The following is a 23,104-nucleotide window of genomic DNA, read 5'->3' as shown; positions in this document are numbered from 1 at the left end:
AAAAGTTATTAAAAATCATAAGGAAGAGAAAATATATTTACTATTCATTAAGTGGAAGTGGATCTCATAAAGGTCTTCATTTTTATCATCTTCATGTTGAGTAGCAGAAGAGGAGGAAGAGGAGGGGTTGGTCTTGCTGTGTCAGGGGTGGCAGAGGCGGAAGAGGAGGAGGAGGTGGAAGGGGAGGCAGGCACACTTAGCATAAGTTTTATTGAGAAAAATCTGCATGTAAGTGGACCCACACAGTTCAAACCCATGTTGTCCAAGGGTCAGCTGTATATTCTGCTTGAAACTCATTCATTCACTTGATATATACTTATTGTGCCCCTACTACTTGCTAGATCCAGGCACTAGGGATCAGCAGAGAGCAAATCAGACAAAGTCCCTGTGTTCATGCAGCTTACCTTCTGGTGGGAGGAAATGGAAATTAACTAACAGTCTCATGGAAATACATTATGTCTGATAATGATAAGAGCTATGGAAAAAAATAAATTAGGACATGGGGGTAGTGGATGCTGGGAGAGTACTATGTATAAGGTGGTCAGGAGGTCTTTTTTGATAAGCTGATATTTGAGCAGATACCTGAAGAAAATGAGGACACCAACTATCTAAATATCTGGGGAAAGAGCATTGCGGCAGAGGATACAGCACAAGCACGAGCCTGGAGGTCAGAGAATGCCTGCTGTGCTCAAGGAAGAGCATAGAAGCCAATGTGTCTGGACAGGAGTAGTGAGAGGGAGAATGGATCAGGTCAGACACGTGGAGGGGTGAGTAATGCACACGGATCCTCCAGTCCATTGCAAAGACTTTGGAAAGGCTCTGAGAAACCACTAAACAGTCTTAAATAATAGAGTATGACATTTGTCTAAAAGGCTCATTGTGACTGTTGCGCAGAGAACAGACATTTTATTGTGTAGGGATGCAAGTAGGAAGGACAGCAGAATGACCAGTTGTAGACTACTGCCATGGTCCAGAGGAAAGATGATGGAGGAAAGATGACAGAACATGGCAGTAGTGATGGAGGCATTGAGAAATGGTCAAAGTCTGGGTATCTTTTCGGGATAGAACTGGCGACATTTGCTGAATTGGATATGGGGTATGAGATAGAGAAGATACAAGCATCACATGAAATTCTTTGAACCAAATAACTGAAAGAATGAAAAAAATCTTTTTGTGACATGGGCAATTGTTAAGAACAGTTTAGGTGGAGGGAGAGATGCAATGTCAGGGGTTTTCCTTTGAAGACAGTGAGTTTGAGATGTCTGTCAGATGGTAAAATGGAGCTGTGGTATAGGAGGCTGGATATGGGAATTTGAATTTCAGAGAAGAGGTCCAGGCTGGAGAGAGCAATGTGGGAGTTGTTAGCAGTAGGACTCACAGCCACAGGACTGGGAGGAGATTGCCTTAGAGAGTAAGGAAGGAGCCTACATCCTCAAAAACTTCATGTTTAAGGTCCACAGGTGAAAAGGAACCAACAAGGAAACTGAAAAGGAACAATCAGAACAGTATGAGGAGAACCCAGAGAAAGTGGTCCCTAGAAGCCAAGAGAAGAAAACGTTTCCAAGAGGAGAAATCACACAACTCTGTCCAATGCTGCCAGTTGCACATCATGAAGATGGAGAATCGGCCACTGGACTTGGCAATGTGGGCAGCCTCAGTAACCGTAATAAACTGTTCCTATGTGGTGACCAGGATAAAATCCTGATTAGAGGGGTTTTGAAAAAGAATAAGAGCAGAGAAAGTATACATGGGGACTTTAGGCAACTCTGAATGAGTGTTGCTGTGAAAGGGAGCAGAGGAATGGAGTAGTATCTGGAGCAGAGTAGCAGACAAGGGAAGTTTGCTTTATTTTACTATGACAAGTTGTTGCAATATCTTTTCTTGCTGATGATAATAACATAATTGAGAGGAAAAAAACTGATTGAGAGAAGGAGAGAGACTGCAATTGCTGGAGTGTGCCTCTTTATTCTGCGGACTCAAATTTTTCTTCGTTTCTAGAAAATTATCAGCCTCCTAGCCTTCCAACATTACATTTCCCCAATTCTCTGAATATCTTCATTCCAGAACTCTCATTTGGATTTGTATTGGGTCTCTTTAGTCTATCAGGCAAATCACAAAAACTCCCTTCAAATTTCCACTTCCTTATCTCTCTGTACTATATTCTGGGTGATTTCTTCAGCTCTACCTTTTGATTCAATAATTCTGCCTTCGATTATGACTAGTTTGTTCTTTGACCCATCTACTGAATTCTAAATGTCAATATTTTTCCTTTTCACAATTTCTATTTTGTTCTTTTTCAAATCTGCTTATTCTTTTATTAGAAGGTCATTTGCTTGTCATATAATTTCTATCATTTATTTCTATTCATTTTCAGAATTTCTATTTTATGTCTCTTTTGGATCGTTCTGTTTTCTCACAGTCTTGGTTACTGTGTTCCCATTTATTGCATCTGCTGACTCTACACCACGGTGGGTTTGTCCTTCATATAGTTTGCAATTTATTTTAGCTCATCTTCAGCAAAAGGTGTTTTCCAGTAGAAGTCCCATGTACCCTTACTTGTGGAAAGATCTCTTCAGATACATTTTTATCTTTGCTTCTATTAAATCCCAAGTTTTTGGTCTGACCCAAAGATATTTGTTTGTATAGTTCCTTTACAAAGACCGGTAGCCCTTTGAGTATCTGGAATTGAGGGTCTGAGTCCCAGCCCTCAAGCCATGCCTTGTCAAGATTAAGCATTAAACTCCCAGCCCGCAGTTCCTGAGACCTAAGCCCATGGCACACCTCAGCATCAACTGTAGCGCTCCCTTCTAAGTTGCAGTTTTCTTTTTGTTTGTGAAACCCACAACTTTCCCTTTCTTGCTTGCTTGAGTATATACTTTAAAGTGTTTTCTTGACACTCTTTACATTTAATATGTTTATGTATTTGCAATAGGAAACATGTCCACATAAGGTCGGTCTATCAAATATGGTAATCTCCAAAGTTCAGCATGATGTACTGGTCCCAGAACACTTTGACTGAACTCAAAATTGAAGCTGGCCTCAAAATCCTTCTCAACCTAAGAAACAACTACCATTGCGTCAGAGTTGGCATGGGAAATGAAAACTTTTCCCATCCTTGTGATGCTACACCAAAAACAATTACTATTTTGTCTTTGGGCAATTAAGAAAAGATTCATTAGCAGATCTCCATCAATTCATAGAGAGAATTCCTGATATCCAACCCTTGGGTATATTTCCTAAAACTAGAGGAGTATTTAAAGGAGGATCAAAATAACAGTGGAGTGACATTCCCTGAGTGCAGACAGATGCCCCATCAACCAAGCTGCTTGCTTCCTCCAGTGAGCTTGCACTTTGTGGAAATGCAAACCTAATCTTGTCTTCAGAGTATCAATAAGGAAAATGTTTGAGTTTTGCCGTGGAAGAAGCTCTGCAGTTTTTGTGTTTGTTTGTTTTTGTTTTTGTTTTGAGACGGAGTCTCACTCTGTAGCCCAGGCTGGAGTGCAGTAGCGCGATCTCGGCTCACTGCAACTTCCGCCTCCCGGGTTCACAAGTCTGCAGTTTTTAAACATTGGAGCATAAGAAGTTATTGATGTTTTTGTGGATTTTATTACTTTTTTTATTTTTTCTTTCTAATCTGAATACTTTTTTCTACCCCTGAATACTTTTAATTTTGAATAGATAGCCCTTTATGTACTGAAAATTTTTATTTTAGGTTAAGAGATTATAATACAGAAACATCTTAATATATGCCTAATATATTTTTACCATCCCTAGTAAAATAGAGAACTCACAATTATCCCACAAATCCTCTATGTTTATAAAGTTGATTTTTAAAAATCTACAACAGAAATTCTACTTTGCAATATAGACAATCTCATTCTATTACTTTTAGTATATTTCCAAGTCTACTTACAACTTAGATTTTACTGAAAGTGAAAATATCATCAGGAGATAAATTATGTTGAATTGGGCAATAATCGACATGCAGAACAGAAACATTATTTAATGTTTTAAATATAATTACCTCAAACTCCTCCTGTTCATGGATTGTTCAGGTTCCTTCATCTTATAGCTGCATCTACCACCTCCAGTCTTTCTTAGGGCACTGACTTAACCAAAGTATCTGAAAATCCTGAAAGCAATACAAAAACCCATAGGATGAGCAGCACAGAGCTCATCTTCCCTCCTGCCATCTAGAAACCAAACAAGAGAAAAGTGAAACCACTGCCCAGACACAGAATAAAATACAGAGCTTCTCCATCCCACTCACACCACTCCACTCTCTATATACACATGCGTGTGTATATCAAAGGTAATAGTATTTACAATATATATAATGATACATAATGTTCTATATATACATACATTATATTCTATATGGACATATGTAAATATATAGAGAGACATATATATACACACATATAACTTTATAATGTCATTTGACCAACAGTTAGGCCTTAGGGACATGTATCTAATTTTAAAAAATAAGTCAGTTGTAAATTATTATTTAATTCAAGAAAATTAACTCTATCCATGATATTTCAAGAAAGCATTAATTTCATGTATGGAAAATTGTTCATTTCATAGAAAGACACTAAAAGGCCATTTAGGAAGGTGAGTGAGCACACAGGCTTTGGTGTCAGCCACTCTGATTCCAAATCTGACTTTACCACTCACAAGCTGTATAACCTTAGATAAATATTAATCTTTCTGGGTTTTCCTGTAAAATGGAGCAAATAATAATACCTCTCAGAATTGCGACAATTAAGATAATATATGTAAAGCAATCAGCCATATATCCTGGAATGTAGTAAAAACTAGGAAAGTTAGTCATCATCCTTATCATTTTTAGGAGAGACACACTCTTTAACAAACTATTTTATTTTACTCCAGGCACAAATATCATAATGTTTTTAAAGCAGTACTGAAAATGTAAAGCAAAATCATTGACTAAGAATAACACTACTTGTGTACATTCAAAATAAATGTCTCCTTTAACCCTTTTTTCGTTTTGTTTTGCTCTGTTTTGTTTTTCTGAGACAGGATCTCTCTCTGTTGCCCAGGCTGGAGTGCGGTGGTACGATCTTGGCTCTGCCTCCCAGACTCACGCAACCCTCTCACCTCAGCCTCCTGAGTAGCTGGGACTACAGGTGTGTGCCACCACACAAAGCTATTTTTTTGTATTTTTTGGTAGAGATGGGGTTTCTACCAAAAATACAAAAAATGTATGTATTGCCATATTGTCCAAGCAGGTCTTGAACTCCTGGGCTCAAGGGATCCATCCACCCTGGCCTCCCAAAGTGCTGGGATTACAGGCAAGAGCTACCATGCCTGGCCAAACCTTTGTATTCTAAAGGAATGTCTTTGGACCACATATTTACAATGCTTGTTATCATGAGGTATTAGAGGTGGGTAATAATTTCTGCTCCAAAGAAACAGATAAGTGTCATTCAAATATCACTATCCCAGTTACGTGAAAAAATAAAATTTGTGACTAGGATGTGAATATATCTGTGCTTTCATTTGGGTCATCTATATTTTACAGTTTTGTTTTTGTTTTTGTTTGTTTTTATCTTGTCTATTTTCCAGAAATGGAATTATACTATACATTCTGCACAATGGCTTGCATTTTGTCTCACTTACCAATACTTTATGGAAATCCCTTCAATTCAACTGGTATAACTCCATTTCATTCTCATTAATGGCTACATAATATTCTATTACTGGACAACCACTTTGTCACCAGGTTTTTATTATTTTGCTCTGGGGTTTTGTTTTTCCGTTTGCTACTATGAATAATTTCTCAATATGTTTTCCAGCTATCCAATCTCTGGAAATAAAAATTTTTAAAAAGGAGACTTCTTGGTCAAAGAGCATATACATTTTAAATTTTAATACATTCTACCAGCTAGCCTCCCAAAAGAATCTAAAATTATTCACATTTCTATCAACACAAAAATGCTGAAAAGATTTGGAAAGGATCTAGAAGGAACACCAACCTTGACCACTGTGGGGAGGCGGGGAGAAAATTAAAATTTAAAAAAATAATAATTAAGCTTGCTATGGTTATTCAACTAACAAAACATGAATTGTATTAAAGGTTGTAAATATGAAGACTACACAAATACATGAAAAAGAGAAAAATCTGAAATAAGATCATAAAAACATGCAAAAATGTCTTTTGCATGTAGCAATGTGCTATGCCAGTGTAAAGCGTTATTACAGAATGAAAGAGTAGTGCTTAAAATTACATTTCCTCACCATTGCAATCACATAAAACCTATGTTTGGCCTGGCGCGGTGGCTCATGCCTGTAATCCAGCACTTTGGGAGGCCGAGGCAGGTAGATCACCCGAGGTCGAGAGTTCGAGACCAGCCTGACCAACATGGAGAAACCCCATCTCTACTAAAAATACAAAATTAGCCGGGCATGGTGGCACATACTTGAAATCCCAGTTACTCGGGAGGCTGGTAGGAGAATCACTTGGACCTGGAGGTTGCAGTGAGCCGAGATCACGCCATTGCACTCCAGCCTGGGCAATAAGAGCAAAAGTCCATCTCAAAAAAACAAACAAAACTCTATGTTTAAGTATAAATAGAAATATAGTTTATTTGGCAATGGGATTATAAAACATCTTAAATAAAATTATTTTAATAATTAAAATTCTTATATAAGAAATAGATCAAAATGGTAGGGTGGTTCTCAATGGGTTTTAATTTTTGACTTACCTGCTTTTTGTGTATTTTCTTTCAAGAGCTGTAGTATTTGAAAATTTTTTTTCAATTTAAAATTGCCTACTTGCAGTAGAGGACATCTGTACCATTTGGGGGCTTATTCAAAGTAAGTGGTTCATCTTTACATATTGTTGTTATCCTGTGTGTCCTGATATTGCTTCTGTGACTCATGGCCAAACACAGCTCTGTTAGAAAGAGACTTCATCTACCTGCTAGCTAGCAAGCACACCGCCAGCTCTTCTCCAAACCTGGCTCCTGCTTTCCCGGCACACAGATAGATGCTTCCCAGAGCCCACCACAGGAGGTGTGAACCTTGACCAAATTCTAGTAAATGGGATGAGAGCAGGAGTCACCCATGCCATTCCCAGAGAAGTCCACAGTAGCCTCCCCACGTGCAATGCTGCAGGCTCTTTTCACTTTTGCCGGCTTGGTGAAGGTGAGCACCGTGACCCAGGAAGCCTCCCTCATGTTGATGGGGAGCCCGGATGCTACAGAGCCCACGTATGGACAGCCTGTGCCCTGTTGCTGCTTGGAGGAGAGCCATCTGCTGATCAGAAATACTCAACTTTGATCTGATGTGAGCAAGACATTACCTCTGAAGCTATTGATACTTGGGTATTTGCAAAAAGGAAGGAAGGAAGAAAGGAAGGAAGGAAGGAGGGAGGGAGGGAAGTAAGGAGGGAGGGAGGGAGAGAAGGAAAGAAAGAACTCAAAGAAAGGGAAAGAATAGAGATGTGGAATGACAGCAAATTAGGTTTCAAAGTACTATAAAAGTCAACTTTGAATAATTGGTTTTCTAAAGCTATTCAGCATCAGTGGTGTTTATATAAGAGTAGTTTCCTCCACAGACTTTAGCAACTCATGAATCACAGACCTTATCCTCACTTAGAGACAGCTATGGGGACAAACGAAATGAACATGCCATGGGAGTGAACGGACCTGAACTCCCCTCCTGACTTGTTCAAGGACTCCCGCGGGCCGAGTGCTCACAGTTCAACCTTTATCCTCGCCATGAGAGCTTCTGGGAGCCAGCAGAATATCATTTCCAGGTGTGAGGGTTCTACTCGCTATCTTTACTTCCCCCCAATAGTCAGATATTACCAAGATCCCCATCATTCTCAGACACATTTTACATTAACTGTACTGACAAACTTGAACAGAATGCGTAGTGCATGTTGGAGAATGTTGTGCATGTTGGAGACATATGAACCAGGCAGTGGGAAGGCCTGGGTTCCAGGCCCAGCTCTCTAAATAAACAACTCTGAAGCCTGAACAGAGCTCCTCAATCTCCCTATGACTATTTTTCATCTCTAAAATAAACATTAAGGATATTACAAGCTACCTACCTCATGGGGTTGTTGTGAAGGGTGAAGTGAGATCACAGGATCAAAGTAAGATGCAAGGTATTGTATTTATTTCTAGAACTGGCAGAAATACAACACTTACTGACTTCCCAGCATTGAGGAAGGTGCCTGAATACTGTTTCAGCGACTTTTATCTCAAGGATTTAGGAGATCCCTCGAACTGTTCCTTGCTTTGCCTAAATGAGCCTGCCTATGGTCCATCTCTTCAGCTAATGAGGCGTTGATATAAATCTGGGACCACAACTTTAAACCGCTATAAATTCCTATTCTCATCTTGACCACTAATCCACCAACACATTGGATCAGAATACTCAATAGTTACTATGTGAATAGGTCTTCTGCAAACCATTTCCTATTCTTGTTCAATGTCCAGGAAACTTCACGCACTTATCAGAGGACGTTTTCAACATTAGAATGACACATCCCTTTCCCTGGATCATCTTGTAGCTGCTTAATGTCATTTTTCTCTATCATGTTTTTTTGGCCTCCACTCTAGCACAATGTCCCTAAATCCTAAAAATGTTCCACTCACCAACGTCACTGAAAGGCCAGATTTGGAAGGATGCTTGCAAGGGAATGCAGGAAGTTCAAATTTGGCCGTGCTATTAAGTGTATTTAGAGGAACACCGGTTCATGGTCACATTCCGTACATCTGCTTGATGTATTAACTTGCATTTGGGAGTCCAAAATTTCATCTGTAGCTGCTTCCTGTTTCCATTTTTTAAGGAACCACTCAGATCTCTCTACAATTGCACTATCAGCTTGAGGTGGTGAAACTGGCTGGTAACTCTCTCCATTTCTTGAAAATTAGAAGAGGGCACTCATTCACCCTAAGCTTCTGCAAGATTCTGACTGATGGACAGGAAAGCAGATGAGTTCCGAGTGTGGCAAAGCTCCCCTTATGGTTTCATGTCCCGGATAGGATGCTTAGAACACTGAATGTGGGGCTCATTCTCACAAAGACTTTGTCAGTAAAAATAGCTTCATAACGGTCAGGCCTGGAGTTGCGTGATGCTCTCTATGGGAATTTCAAAAGGGCATAGTTGGATGCCTGAACTTGGTGCTATTCCATGATGATTAAGAGTAAGAAGAATTAAAAATTCTAAGAAAGCTGAAAGACAAGAGATAGGGAGTGGGAGAGAGATAGAAAAAGGGCAGGATGGAGAGTCAGCACATCTTAAAACTCCTGGAGTCTAGAAGTTTTGACGTTTACTTGTCTGATCTGAAGGTCTGAATTACACACATCAAAGAGGTGGCGTGTGAGGCTTGGATGCAGTTGGAGCATTGTGCAGCTACTTTTTAAAAGCGGTAAGTAAATGGTGAAGAGCACAGGCACTGAAGCCAGACTGCCTGAGTTTTAGTCAAACTCAGTCCCTAATTCACAGAGTGACTTTAGCAGATTACTTAAGTTCTGTGCCTCAGTTTTCTTCCCTGTAAGGTGAGGATCATCAGCATGTTTATTTTGTAGAAGATTAAACTAATTAATGCATATAAAATGCTTAGAACAGTGGCTGACACACACAAAGAGAGCTATGTGCATGTTTACACCTCTTTCCATCATCACTTTAATACCACACTGAGATGCCATCTTACACCAGTCAGGATGGCTCTTATTAAAAAGTTGAAAAAATAACAGATGTTGGTGAGGATGTGGTGAAAAGGGAATGCTTACACATTGTTGGTGCAAATATAAATTAGTAAACCTCTAAGGAAAAGAATATGGAGATTTCTCAAAGAAATAAAAATAGAACTACCATTCAATCCAGCAGTCCCACTACTCAGTATCTACCCAAAGGAACAGAAGTCATTCTACGAAAAAGACACCTGCACCCGTATGATTATTCACAATAGCAAAGATATAGAATCAACCTAAGTACTGAACAATAGATGATTAAAGAAAATGTGGTATATATACCATGGAATACTACTCAGCTATAAAAAAAGAATGAAATAATGTCTTTTACAGTAACATGGATGGAACTGGAGGCCATCATCTTAAATGAAATGACTCAGAAACAGAAGGTCAAAAACTGCATCTTCTCACTTATAAGTGGGAACCAAACAATGGCTACACACAGACATAGAGTGAGAAAACAATAAACACTGAAGACTCAGAAAGATAGGAGGGTGGAAGGGGTTAGAGATGAGACGTGACCTAATAGACACAATGTACACTATTCAGGTGATGGTTACACTAAAAGCCCAGGCTTAGCCACTATGCAATATATCCATGTAGCAAAACTGCACTTGTTTTAAATCTATAAAAATTAAACTAAACTAAAATAAAAATGTCTGCTACCCAAAGCAATCAACAGATTCAGTGAAATCCCTATCAAAATACCAATGACGTTCTTCACAGAAATAGAAAAAACAATTCTAAAATTTGTATGGAATCACAAAAGACACTGAATATACAAAGCAATCTTAAGCAAAAAAGAACAAAGCTGAAGGCATCACACTACCTGACTTCAAAATATACAAAGCTATAATAACCAAAACAGCAAGATCCTGACATATAAACAGACAAATAGACCACTGGAACAGAATAGAGAGCCCCAAAATAAATCCACATGTCTACAGACAACTGATTTTTGACAAAGGGGCCAAGAACACACATTGGGGAAAGGGCAACCTCTTTAATCAATGGTGCTGGGGAAAATGAATATCCACATGCAGAAGAATTAAACTAGAACCCTATCTCCCACCATACAAAAGAAACAACTCAAAATGAGTAAAGGCTTAAATGTAAGACCCAAAACTATAAAACTTCTAGAAGAAAACTTAGGGGAATCACTACATGACATTGGTCTAGGCAAGGATTTTTTTGGATAAGACCTCAAAAGCACAGGCAGCAAAAGCAAAAATAGACAAATGGGATTACATCAAACTACGAAGCCTCCTGACAGCAAAGAAAACAATCGACAGAGTGAAGAGAAACCTACAGAATGGGAAAAAATATATGCAAACCAGACATCTGACAAGGAGTCAATAACCAGAATATAAAAGGAACAAAAACAACTCAATAGCAAAAAATAATAATAATAATCCATTTTAAAAATGGGAAAAAGATCTGAATAGACATTTTTCAAAAGCAGACATACAAATGGCAAGGAGGTATATAAAAAAATGTTCACCATTAATCATCAGAGAAATGTAAACAGAATAACCTCAGTAAGATAGTATCTCATTCCAGTTAGAATGGCTATGATCAAAAAGACAAAAAAATAACAAGTGTTGGCAATGATATGGAGAAAAGTGAACCCCTGCACGCTGTTGGTGGGAATGTAAATTAGTACAGCCATTATGAAAACTGTATCGAGATTTCTCAAAAAATTAAAAATAGAACTATCATATGATTCAGCAATCCCATTACTGGATACACATCCAGAGGAAATTGAATCAGTATGTAGAAGAGGTGTCTACACTCCCATGTTTACTGTGGCACTATTCACAGTAGCAGAGATATGTAATCAACCTAAGTGTTCATTACCAGATGGATGAAGGAATGAAGAAAATGTGGTATATATACACACATGGAATACTATTTAGCCATAAAAAAGAATAAAATCCTGTCATTTGAGACAACATGTGTGAGCCTGAAGATATTATGTTCAGTGAAATAAGCCAGGCACAGAAAGACCAATACTGCATGGTCTCACTCAGATGTGGGCTCTAAAATAGTTGGTCTCATAGAAGAAGAGAGCGGAAAAGTGGTTACCAGAGGCTGGGGAAGGTAGAGGGGAGGAGGAGGTGGAAAGAGGCTGGTACAAAGTTATAGTTAGATAAGAGGAGTAAGTTCTGGTATCCTATTGCGCAGCAGAGTAACTACAGTTAACAATAATGTACTGTACATTTCAAAATAGCTAGAAGAGAGGATTCTGAATGTTCTTACCACAAAGAAATGATAAATGTTGGAGGTGATGAATTTGCTAATTACCCTGATTTGATCATTACACAATGTATACATCTATCGAAACATCACATTGTACCCCACAAATATATACAATTATTATGTGTCAGTTAAAAATAAAATAAAACCTTTTTTTAAAAAAGGTTTTGTTTGTGGCAAGGAACTGATGAATCCAAGACAAGCAGGCAAAGAAGAGTGAAGGAGGCTAGGCCCAGAGCAGTGACGGGAGAGGAGCGAGGGAGGCAGTGGGGGTCGTCTCAGGCTGCGTGCAGAGGTTCAGCTGATTTATCTCAATTCTCTTCACCTTGACATTTACTCAGCATTTACTTGCCACACATTGTGCTAGACACAAGTTCGGAGTCAATAATGAAGAGGATGTGATGCCAGGCTCAGCTATAAGCCTTGAACCAAATCCCGGGTCAGCCAAACTCTTCTGTCACTGCCCTGCCAGTTTCTACCTCGAGCTCTTTGCAAAGCTGGTGCCCCTTCATCTCCCACCACCCAAACCTGACTTGCCCTTTAAGGGCAATCCCCAGAGCTCCTGTCTTCTGAAACTTTTCCCAAACACATGAAGGTTCTTTAAGCCTCACTTTGTTTAGTGCCGTTGCTTTTGCTCAACCATAAAAATAATGATAGTGATGGCAGGGCGCGGTGTCTCACGCCTGTAATCCCAGCACTTTGGGAGGCCGAGGCGGGCAGATCACAAGGTCAGGAGATCAACACCATCCTGGCTAACACGGTGAAACCCCGTCTCTACTAAAAATACAAAAATTTAGCCAGGGGTGGTGGTGGGCGCCTGTGGTCCCAGCTACTCAGGAGGCTGAGGCAGGAGAATCGCTTGAACCTGGGAGGCGGAGCTTGCAGTGAGCCGAGATCGCGCCACTGCACTCCAGGCTGCGCAACAGAGGAGACTGTCTCAAAATAAAATAAAATAAAATAAAATAAAATAAAATAAAATAAAATAAAATAAAATAAAATAAAATAAAATAAAATAAAATAAATCATAGTGATAATAATAGTAACTACTAACATTTACCAAATATTTACAATGTGCTAAGCCCTGTGCTACAGTCACTGTGCCCTTCCTAATTTCTCTATTGTCAGGGCCACCAGAGCAATTTCAGTCACTTGATAGGATTTGAAGGAGGGCTACAGATTATTGGAGAAAAAGGCTTCTTTCTTGCTGCTCAGCCTACGTGGACTTCTCCATCTCCCTTCCCCCAACACACACACACACACACACACACGCACGCACGCACACACACACACACACAAAGCGACACGTGCCAGGGAGCAGAGGATACCACACACAGCAGCAAGGTTAAAAGTCCAGGCTCAGGAGTGAAAAGATCTGGGTTCAAACACCAGCTCTGCCACCACATGAACTTCAGAAAGTCATTCAGCTTGTTCAAGCCTTTGGTGCGTCCTCCTCAAATTGGGGATGATACTACACAACTACCTTGAGGAGCAGCTCATACTAAGTGCCCCATTAATGGTTAATAGTAACTATTTTCAGAATCCAACGTTTAATAGAGCTGATTTCATTTCTTGATTGATTTTGCCAACGGCTTTTCAGCATGAAATCACATAGGAGGCAGAAGTGTACAGGGGCTAAAAGTAGTACTTTAAATTCACTTCTGTTTCCTTGCAGTGTGACCTTGGGCAAGTTACATAAGCTCTTTCTGACTCCATTTCCTTACCTATAAAATTGGGATAAAAGGGACCCACCCCACTGAAGTTCTGTGAGAATTAAATAAGATCATGTATGCAAGGGCTTAGCACAGGGCTCAGTACATCATAAATATTTGGCAAATGTTAGCAGTTACCATTATTATCACTATCATTATTATTACGGCTGAGCAAAAGCAAAAGCATGAAACAGAGTGAGGCTTAAAGAACCTTTATGTGTTTGGGAAAATCCTCATTTTCTTTTTATTTCTTACCTTGTATAATCCCCACCACTGTCAGGTAGGCAGGCAGAATCATCTGCTTACTTCTACCTTGTGGACCATTTATTCCATGGAGCACTTATTCCGCGTGTAACTTGATCTCCTTCCTTTTGTAGAACATCAAGAGGGAAATAAACTATGGTGTATGTAATAATATTATTTCTTTCTAAATCTGACGGAGCAGGAAGATAACACAACGTTTAATGCAGGCTTGTTGTGTAGCTGTCTGAGTAGAGGGTTCCAGGCCATAAAACCAACACCATTTACCCATTTCCTTTGAAGCAAAGTAACTGTTCAACGTAAAGCGGAAAGAATCTTTGGGACAAGTTTATCGCTATGATCAGCCTATTAGTCTAACATGCTGTCATCCTTCCCGCACTATTTACTCAGGCACACTAAGTGCTTCTTGGTTAACCCTGCCCAGTACTGATCATCTCCAGTGGCGGGGGGCTACATGTTTTTTGTAGGTTGTTTTTATATAGAATGTGAAGGATACACGATTACCTTGTGCAAGGGACAAAAAGAATATAGCGGTGTCGGTTCCAAAAGCTTTTCCCATGTTTTCATTCCCAGCAAATACCATGTTCTTCCATCTTTCAGCAGCTCATGTAGGGGAATGAACAAAATGTTCTGCCACGAACTTGTTCCAAAATTTCTACTAGGGCAGCAGTTTGAGGGATTTAGCAGGAGAAGCGTGGGGTGTGTTATTCTGGTCATGCGTAAGAAACTTGGAAAACAGAATCAGAAAATGAGGGCGGTGGGGAGTGGTGGCAGAGATAACTTGGCAGTAAAACAAAAGTGAACCAACAAAAACAACACAACCTAAAAGGGAGTTGAGGAGGCCAGTGGAGAAAGAGGGCATCACATTGACAACTTGGCCAGAAATCTGGACACTGTAAGGGAGGATTTAGTGCTGGGTCGTGCCCTGGGCTGAATTTATCGCTGCTTGCCTTGTTAACTCGCCTCATGTTTAAAGTCAAAACTGCCATAGGCTCTGAGGGATTTCCATCTTTGTCATTTGTATGATCTGCCTCAAAATACAACCTCCCAAGTAAGGAGCATGATTCCCCTCCTGCCAGGAAGAAGAAAGCAGAGAATTGAGGGATGCCGAAATCGATTTTTAAAGGGTTTGGGTTTGGGGCGGTTCCGGATGAGGCTCTGTGCGCTAAGTGAGCGAGACGGGGAGGTGGGAGAGGACTGAGCGCTATGGAAAGGTGGTGGGGACGCAGGTGAGGGCGACGCGGGGAAGCGCATGGTCCTGGGGCCCGCAGACGGGACGGAGCAGCCGCGGCCCGCAGACGGGACGGAGCAGCCAGCGCCGCTTGTCGGGGCTTGTGGTTGCGAACATAGAGTGGAAAGAGGATTCTGCGCTCTGCTCCCGCCCCGGGAGATTAAGAGTCAACCCTACCATGCAGCCACGTTTTGCCAGTTCCAGGTAAGTAGGAAAGACTGACTCCCTAGCACAGATAATGTTACAAATGAGGTGCGCTGCGAAGCCAGGAAGCACAGCACCCTTTCGTGTCTAGGCAGCCGGGAGCCCAGGAATGCACCCGAAAGGCGGGGAGTCAAGGTCCCCCACCGCTTCTCCAGCGCCAGGAGGCCGCAATTTGTAAGGCGAAATTAAAAATGCACCACGTGTCGGCCCGGAGGCTAACGATGTTTATACAGACATACCACACCGAGGGAACCGGCCCATCATTCCGCACTGGGCGCGGAGAAGAGGGGGTGAGGGCGCGGCCGGCCCGCCCCTCCCCCGCCGCCTTCCTGCGCCGCAACCTGGACTTGACCCCCGCGAGCCTGGCTCGGCGCGTCCGGGGCCGCCCAGCCGGAGCCGGGCGCTGAGACCGGCGGCCCGGGCCGGCGTCGCTGCGCGCCTGAAGACCCGGGCGGCCAGACGCGCCCACCACCCCGCCGCGCGCGCAGACCGACCCCGCAGCGCGGCCGGACCCTGGCGCTCCCGGCGGGGAAACGTTTCCAATGCCTGGAGCTTTTGTTTGATAGCGAGGGAGGTGGGTACGGCGCTTGGTGGGGGTGAGGGGAGCAGAAAGAGAGAGAGTTTGGTCCCCAAGTATTGAGCTGTGAGAGAGCAGGGGCAACTCCAGGGCCAGCATTCAGAGCGGAGAATTAGAGCTGCGCACGCCCCAGGTCGGATGCGACAACGAGGTCCCCGGGCCTCAGCAGCTAGGTGACACTGGGCAAGTCTCAGCAGCTCTGGGGGCCTCAACGTCTCAACTGTAAACTCTGGGCACGCGGCTAGCGCCACGTCCTCTCCAGCCCTAACATTCTGTGATTCTAAACTTGTCTGATTTGTCTCATATGTTGCAAGGCTCGTAGCAAAAAGAAAAAAATACTCCATAACTATTTAACAGGAATTAGCTGAAGCACAGCTCTAGAGAGAGAGACACACACACACGTTTCAAATAACCCGAACACTAGAACCTAGTGAATTTTATACCTTTACTAAACTTTAGCGATTATTTGTTTCTTTCGTAACAAAGGTTATTGATTAGATTTAGTGCTGAAAAAAACCAACAACGTGCGCTTCGGTCATTTGTCTTATGGAGGAAACATAAATCTATAAATCTTCCTCCTGTCTCTAAGAAATAAAACTCTCTTCATTTCCAAAGTATGCAGATCTTCCAAAGGCGTATTCTTTCTTCTTTCTAAATCTTTGCTCTTAGACTCCTAAAACCAGTGGCTTTCTTTTCTTAAAATTTATGTGATCTTTAAATAAAGAGAGATAGAAAAAAGCCCCATTCTGCAGTTGCAGTCTGAAAAAAGCTATGTCCAGGAAGAGATATTTAGATTTTATTTTGAGAGAGTTTTTAATCTGAAACAAAATGATTTCTCATCTCCTAAAAATGTACGCAAAATAATTTATAAAATGTTACACAAATTTACAGTATGATTCTTCAAGTATCTCTGGAAAGAGGAACATACAATCTTCTAATTACCCCAAGGAATGTACCACATGTGGGTGGGTGATTCAGAGGCTGGCTAATCTCGCTTCCCCGCATCCCCCAAAACAGTAAAAACAAGGTTTAGATTTCTGACATCTGTCGTTTTAAAAATAATGAATGGAAAGGTGATTGATTTGAACTCTTAATTATTACCAAAACAAGGTAACAAGGTGTTCTCTGATTATGTAATGTTCCAAGTGCAAAAGCTCATTTCAGTGAACAGCCTCCTACGTGATCTTCTGCCTAGCTCAGGGTCACCTCCTCCACCTCACTCCTGCCCTCCAGAATTGCTCCCTCTCTAATCAGCGCAGTCCCATTCTGGCCTCGGACAGGCAGGAGTCAAGGGAGACGCGGAAGCACGCAGGCTCCTCCCCCAGCTTCCCAGGGACAATCCTTGCAGCAGGAGGGTTTGTTGTGCTGACCTTGTGAGCGAGTGACCCATAGAGAAGGACACTGTGTGCGGTCACTGAAGTTTTCTGACCTCATTTGTCCACGTCGGTATCAATAAGTCGGCCAGGGGGAGGGGAGAGAGGAAGTGGAAAAGGACGATTATCAGGACATACAGGACAAGGGACTGTGTGCAGCTGCTCTGCTGACAAGGAATAGTTGGAGCTGTGTTTCCTTGAAGGAATTGTTTTAAATTGAAGGTTGGCCTGGTGTTCACAGCACTCCCACCAGCCTTTCTGCTCATTTCCCCACCATGATCTCAGCCTCCTATCTCCTCGGAAAGTTCCTATGCCAGGGCAGTGTGTTATGCCCAGGACACAGACTCCAGGGCCAGATGACTTGGGTTTGAATCCAGTTTCATCACCTGCAAAATGGAAATGATAGTAGTTCCAGCTTGTAAGAGTGTGTGAGGTTGAACTAAGTTATCACATCCTTAGAAGTGTGCCTAGCACTGCATAAAGCCTTCTAGATACTTCCTTCCATGGTTTTGTTCAGGTTTCCTCTCTCAGCTGGAGGGGTGCCAGCTTTACTCACTCACTGCTGCTTCAAGCTGCTCTGAGCAAGGATCAAACCTTGGCTTCTCCAGGAAGAAAAGATGTGTTATCAGATTTGCCTTTGAAAAGATCTCATGGGGAATCTAAGGTGTAGAAGACTCCCAAACGATCCTTCCTGGGAAGGCTACCACTTATTGAACCCAACTCAATAAATGCCAATTTGTACACTATTCCATTTAAACTTTACAACAGCCCCAAAAGAAGTATTTTTATTCCATTTTATAAGGGAGAAACAAGGACAAAAAGAGGTTAATGGCATTCCCCTGATTGCACAAGTAGGATCAGAGCACAACAATAATAAATAACATTAACTAAATAGCTGACCCGTGCAAGGTATTGAACACCTTGCTATGTCTTCATTCATTTAACGCTCACAGCCACCCTGGGAGCCAAATACTATTATTCTCCCTACTTTGCAGCTGAGGAACTGAGGCAGAGAGGCCTTATCAGCAAACCCCACAAGTAGAAAGTGGTAGAACTGCATTTGAGTGCAGGCCTGCTGGCTCCCAGCCTATAGATCCAACCCCAGTACATGCTCCCTGTGCTCCTCTGCCCACCAGTGACCGGAAAGCCCCAGCCACGCTGACCTCATTGCCCCTGGCTGTAGTCACCATCCAGAAAGTCCTTGAGAACTGCAGATCTCAGTTCTGTGAGAAACAAAAACTACCATATGTCATTGCCTTGTGCCTATTTGAATTTTTGAGACAGAGTGAATGTTGTTCTGTTTTTTTGTTGTGGTTTCCAGGAATCATAATGTCATGTTTAAGTATTGAGAAAGGATGGCTTTTTCCTGTCATTTGCAAGGGATTTTCTTTTCTCCTCCTGAATATTTAGGAATAGGTGGCCCTCAAAACTTTCCATCCAGCCTGAGCTGGCTCAGATGTGTAAGTGCTGGGACCACGATGAATCTTCTACAAGGCTCCAGAAAAAGAAGTTCCTGTGAGCAGCTGGCCAAGGGAGAAGGGAGAGGCACAGCCCCTCCTAAGCAGGCAGAAATCTAGCACCCACCCCTTAAGCCACAAGCTCAGCCTCAGCTCCAGTTCCTCACTAGCCCTTCTGCACCTTGACCTTAAACTCTCTGAAGTGCATGTAAAACCTTGCCAACCAGAGCTTCCTGTTGTTCTTTTGCAAAGTGAGACATTCACAGGTTTTTTCCCTTTTCACCAAACAGGCTTGTGTTTAGAAGTTATTTGAAGCATAAAAAGTAAAAGTTCAACCCTTTCATCCTCCCAAAGGTATTTTTCCAGAGTTGAAATAAGCAAATATTTTGGTAACAATTTGGTAAAGTAAAATGAATTTCCTTTGGAATTGGTCAATAAGTGTGATTTTCTGTCTTTTCATTTTATTATTAATATGTTGGAAAGTTGAGAAGCCCTTGGTTTATGCATGCAGCCACTCTCTGTACCCACAGGAAACACTACTGCGTGAGATGACAATAACCCCTGTTAGAGGCTGTCCTGTCAACAGTGAGTGACACTGTCAACCACTAGATAAAGAGATCAGGATCTGACCCCAGAGCTTAACCTAATTCAGTTCACATATAATGAGATTCGTTGGTGCTAGTTCAGCTGCAGATAGGTGAGATGAAATAATAATAATAATAGTTAACACGGACATGTGCCGGGTTACCTTACATATATTAACTCATCCTCAAGCAACCCTAAGAAGTATTATTATTATCCTTATGTTACAGATGAAGCACTGAGAAGTTAAGTAACATGCCCAAAGTGACACAGCTGCTAAGTGATGGAGCTGAGATGTAAACTCAGGCATTCTATATCCATAGTCCATATTCTTAACCACCACAGAATGCTGTTTCCCGTGGTATTTTGAGTTTTGGTAGGTGATTAATATCTCAGTAGGAGTGAAACAGAAAACACAGGCAGTGCAAAGGAGTCTCAAGAGAAAAGTTTCTGATGCCAGGCTGCCTGGTCCAGTCCTGACTCTGTGCTTGTTAAATGTGCAGCCTGTCTTGGTTTCTTTATCTTTCTGTGTGTCACCCACTGTCAAATGGAAAAGCTAAAGGAACCTTCCCATAGGGCTATGTGGGGATTAAATGGCCTAAAACATGAGTGTGCGCCATGAAGACTAGCCATTGTTATGGGTGCATGGTCACTTTCTGAAATGCAAGGGTCCAAGTGTGTTTGGAATTCAGACTCTTTCCAATTTTAGAACAATAGATCAGTGCATATCTTGTTTTATCTAACTCCCCAGTAGGGTCTAGGAGTCTTAGGTGTCATCCTGTAAACAAACATATTAATAATTCTGCAGCAACATGTTTGGCTCTTTAAGTGGGCAAATGAAGGTTATAATAGCTTCATGGGAGTTCAGGTTTGGGCACCAAGTGTGTTATTTAAAAAAAAAAAAAGAACAAAAACAAACAACAACAACAAAAACCTTGCAGCGTTCAAGGCTTCGTGGGTTTCGGATGTGGAAAGGGACTGAGGGCTGTATCTGTCTTGTATCAACCGTGAGGTCCAGAGCATTTGGGGCCACAGCTGATTTGAGTGGAGACAGTGGTGCTAAGGAAGGAAAGCACAGCAAGTGCTGTATAATCCCCCTCATGGGGGATCTCTAATGAAAAAAAAGATGTTTAATTTTTCACACTCAAGAAGAAGCCCGCCACCAACCCCATGAATTCAAACCCTGGTGCTTGTTTGTCATCCTGTGGCCTCACTGCATGCTGGGAGGAAGAAAACCACACGCAGGCAAGACCTAAGAGGTGGCCATGGGGGAGAACAAACATCAGGGGCCCCGGGAGGGAAAGTCTTATCATTATGGGGGCAGAACTGACTCTAAAAAGCCAGAGTGAAGGGCAGCAATGTCAGCTCAGCCCAAGAACAACAGCGATGAGTTGGGGGAGCTAGACCAGCGCTCCACCTGCAACACCCCTTGTAATCCTGGAGCAAATGAACACTTATTGGGGGGTTAATGGCAAAGGCACCTACCAAAAGGTGGATGGGGAGAGCAGAGGGGCTTTCCCTTTCCCAGCAAAGCACTCTTGCCTTCCCCACTCAGAAAACAAGAGGGATTTTGTGAACCTTTTCACATATATCACTGGTTGGTCTGTTAAGCCCTTGAGGAATATCTGGCATCAGCTGGTGCTGCATGAGCAACATTTGATCCTCAAATAACCTGAAAAGTAAGTATTATCATCATTCCCACTCTATGGATTTAGGACTATTCCATAGGTTTTTTGTCCATGATCTTGAAACTAATAAAGGAGACAGCTGGGTTTCAAGCTCAAGTCTCCTGACTCCTAGCTGGAGCTCTAGCCCTGCATTTTACCCAGAATGATGGCCAATGCCTCGGGCGCACAGATGGGAAGAAGTGACAGTATTAGGGATTCAGAGCTGCCATCAGTAACTCATTTCCATTCCTATTACTGTAATTCAGCTCTCAAAAGATCAGCCTGCACTTCTAGTAAAGGAAGAAAAAAAAAGCACCAACACACGCAACTTAGATTTTCAGCTCAGAAACGCTGTGCCCGACAGCTACAATAGGCCGTTTTGATTTGGAAAGTGAAACACACAGAAGCCCTGGTTATTATAGTTAATTTAATTTAATTAAAACCGTAAAAGCAAACCACAGTTCTGCAGTGGGTTCTTACCATCCTGATTGCTTGAAGGAGCCACAGGAGTCATGCTCTTAACTGATGGGCAGAGGCCCAAGTCGCCACCATTACTCAGCCCTCCACTAAAGGGCCTCTTACCTTGGCTCAGCCTGTGGTTCTTTTATGCACTGACTTATCTTCGGTGTCCTTTTGTTTTGAAGGTGATTTGCTGTGGTTCACTTCCAGCTGTAGTAAGAATGGCACTTTTAAGCTGGGTGCAGTGGCTCAGCCTCTAATCCCAGCACTCAGGAGGCTGAGGCAGGAGGATCACTGGAGCCCAGGAGTTCCAGCCCAGCATGGGCAACATAGGGAGATCCAGCTGAATGAAAGAAAGAGAGAGGCGGGGGTGGGGGGGAGGGGGGAAGAGATGATTAGAAAGAGAGAGAAATTAAGAATTATACTTTTATTCTCTTCCTTTAAGAAGCCCAAAATGCTGAGGGCAATTTTCCATTTCCTTTCCTTTTTCTACTTCTTCACGCTCTCTCAATATTCTGTCCCTCTCTGCTTCTCCTCTCTCTGCCTATTGCTTTCCTTGTCAGCCAGTCTGCAGCTGGCCCCAAACCCCAGTCTCCCAGGAAGGCCAGTGGCCTCCTTGGCAAGGTCGAGCCAGGCCCTGTGCTCGATGCTGGGCATGAAAGTTAGCCCTGCCCTCAACTTACCCACTGAACAGATGGGAGAGACAAGCAAGCAAACAGGCATTCAGAGTGTGGTGTGATACACACTATAGCATATGGGTCACCTGCCATTTCAAGGGCACTGGAACTGGAGGGACCCCATCCCTGGATAAGGCCCAGAGGTTAGGAAGCCTGTCGGCCTACAAAGGTCTGCTAGTGGCTCTGCAGCCTTGCTGAGCTGGCTTCCAAGGCCCTGTGGGGTCCAGCCTCAGCCTATGCCTCCAGCCCCCTCTCTACCTCTTCCCAGCACATCTTCTGTCTTCTCACCATATGGAACTCTTCCTTTCATGCCTCAGCCTTGGCATATGCTGTCTGGAACACTCTGCCCACCCTCCCACCCTCATCTGGCTCATGTCAACTCACTTTCCAGGTCCCTAAGGAAATGTTCCTTCCTCTGGGAAGCATCCCTGGCCCACCAAGTCCAGGTGGCATTCCATTTACTGGTTCCCATAGCACCCTGTACATGGGTACCTGACACTTATCACACTACCTTGTCACCACCTGTTTATTTGTTTGTATTCCACCCTGGCCCCCAAGCTCTGTGGAAGCAGGAATAGTATTCACATTGCTTGCCTCTGTATCTCTGTGCCAGAAGCAGTGGCAGGCACAAAGTAGGTGCTTATACAGGTATGCTGCATTCATCAAATGCGCCTGGAGTGGTGTGGGATGAAGGCAGAGGGGTAAGCAGGAATGGATCAGGAAGAACCTGGAATGCCACGCTTACAGAGGAGGAAGGGCAGAGGAGAAGACTGTGAGAGAGCAAGGGAAGAGAGAATGCCTGTGAGAGAGAACCCTTGGTGACAGGCAGTAAGCGCTGCCAGAAACATCTGCAAGCCACTCCCTGGAACCAGGGCAGAGTCAGTGCATCCCAATTTGGTTGAACTTCCTTGAAGAAGGAG

The 23,104-nt window shown here is 42.6% G+C and overlaps 1 long non-coding RNA gene across 1 annotated transcript; it reads left to right on the top strand.

Annotated features, from left to right (window-relative positions):
- The first annotated feature begins 15,017 nt into the window (after positions 1–15,017).
- Positions 15,018–16,586, top strand: LOC105372019 (uncharacterized). Its single transcript, XR_935282.4, has 2 exons — positions 15,018–15,392; positions 15,484–16,586. It is a non-coding gene; the product is annotated as an uncharacterized LOC105372019 (long non-coding RNA).
- The last annotated feature ends 6,518 nt before the right edge of the window (positions 16,587–23,104 follow it).

This window comes from Homo sapiens, chromosome 18, assembly GCF_000001405.40.
Source record: "Homo sapiens chromosome 18, GRCh38.p14 Primary Assembly".
Lineage (NCBI taxonomy): Eukaryota > Metazoa > Chordata > Mammalia > Primates > Hominidae > Homo > Homo sapiens.
The sequence above is the reverse complement of the archived record's forward strand: the minus strand, read 5'-3'. Positions and strand labels throughout refer to the sequence as shown.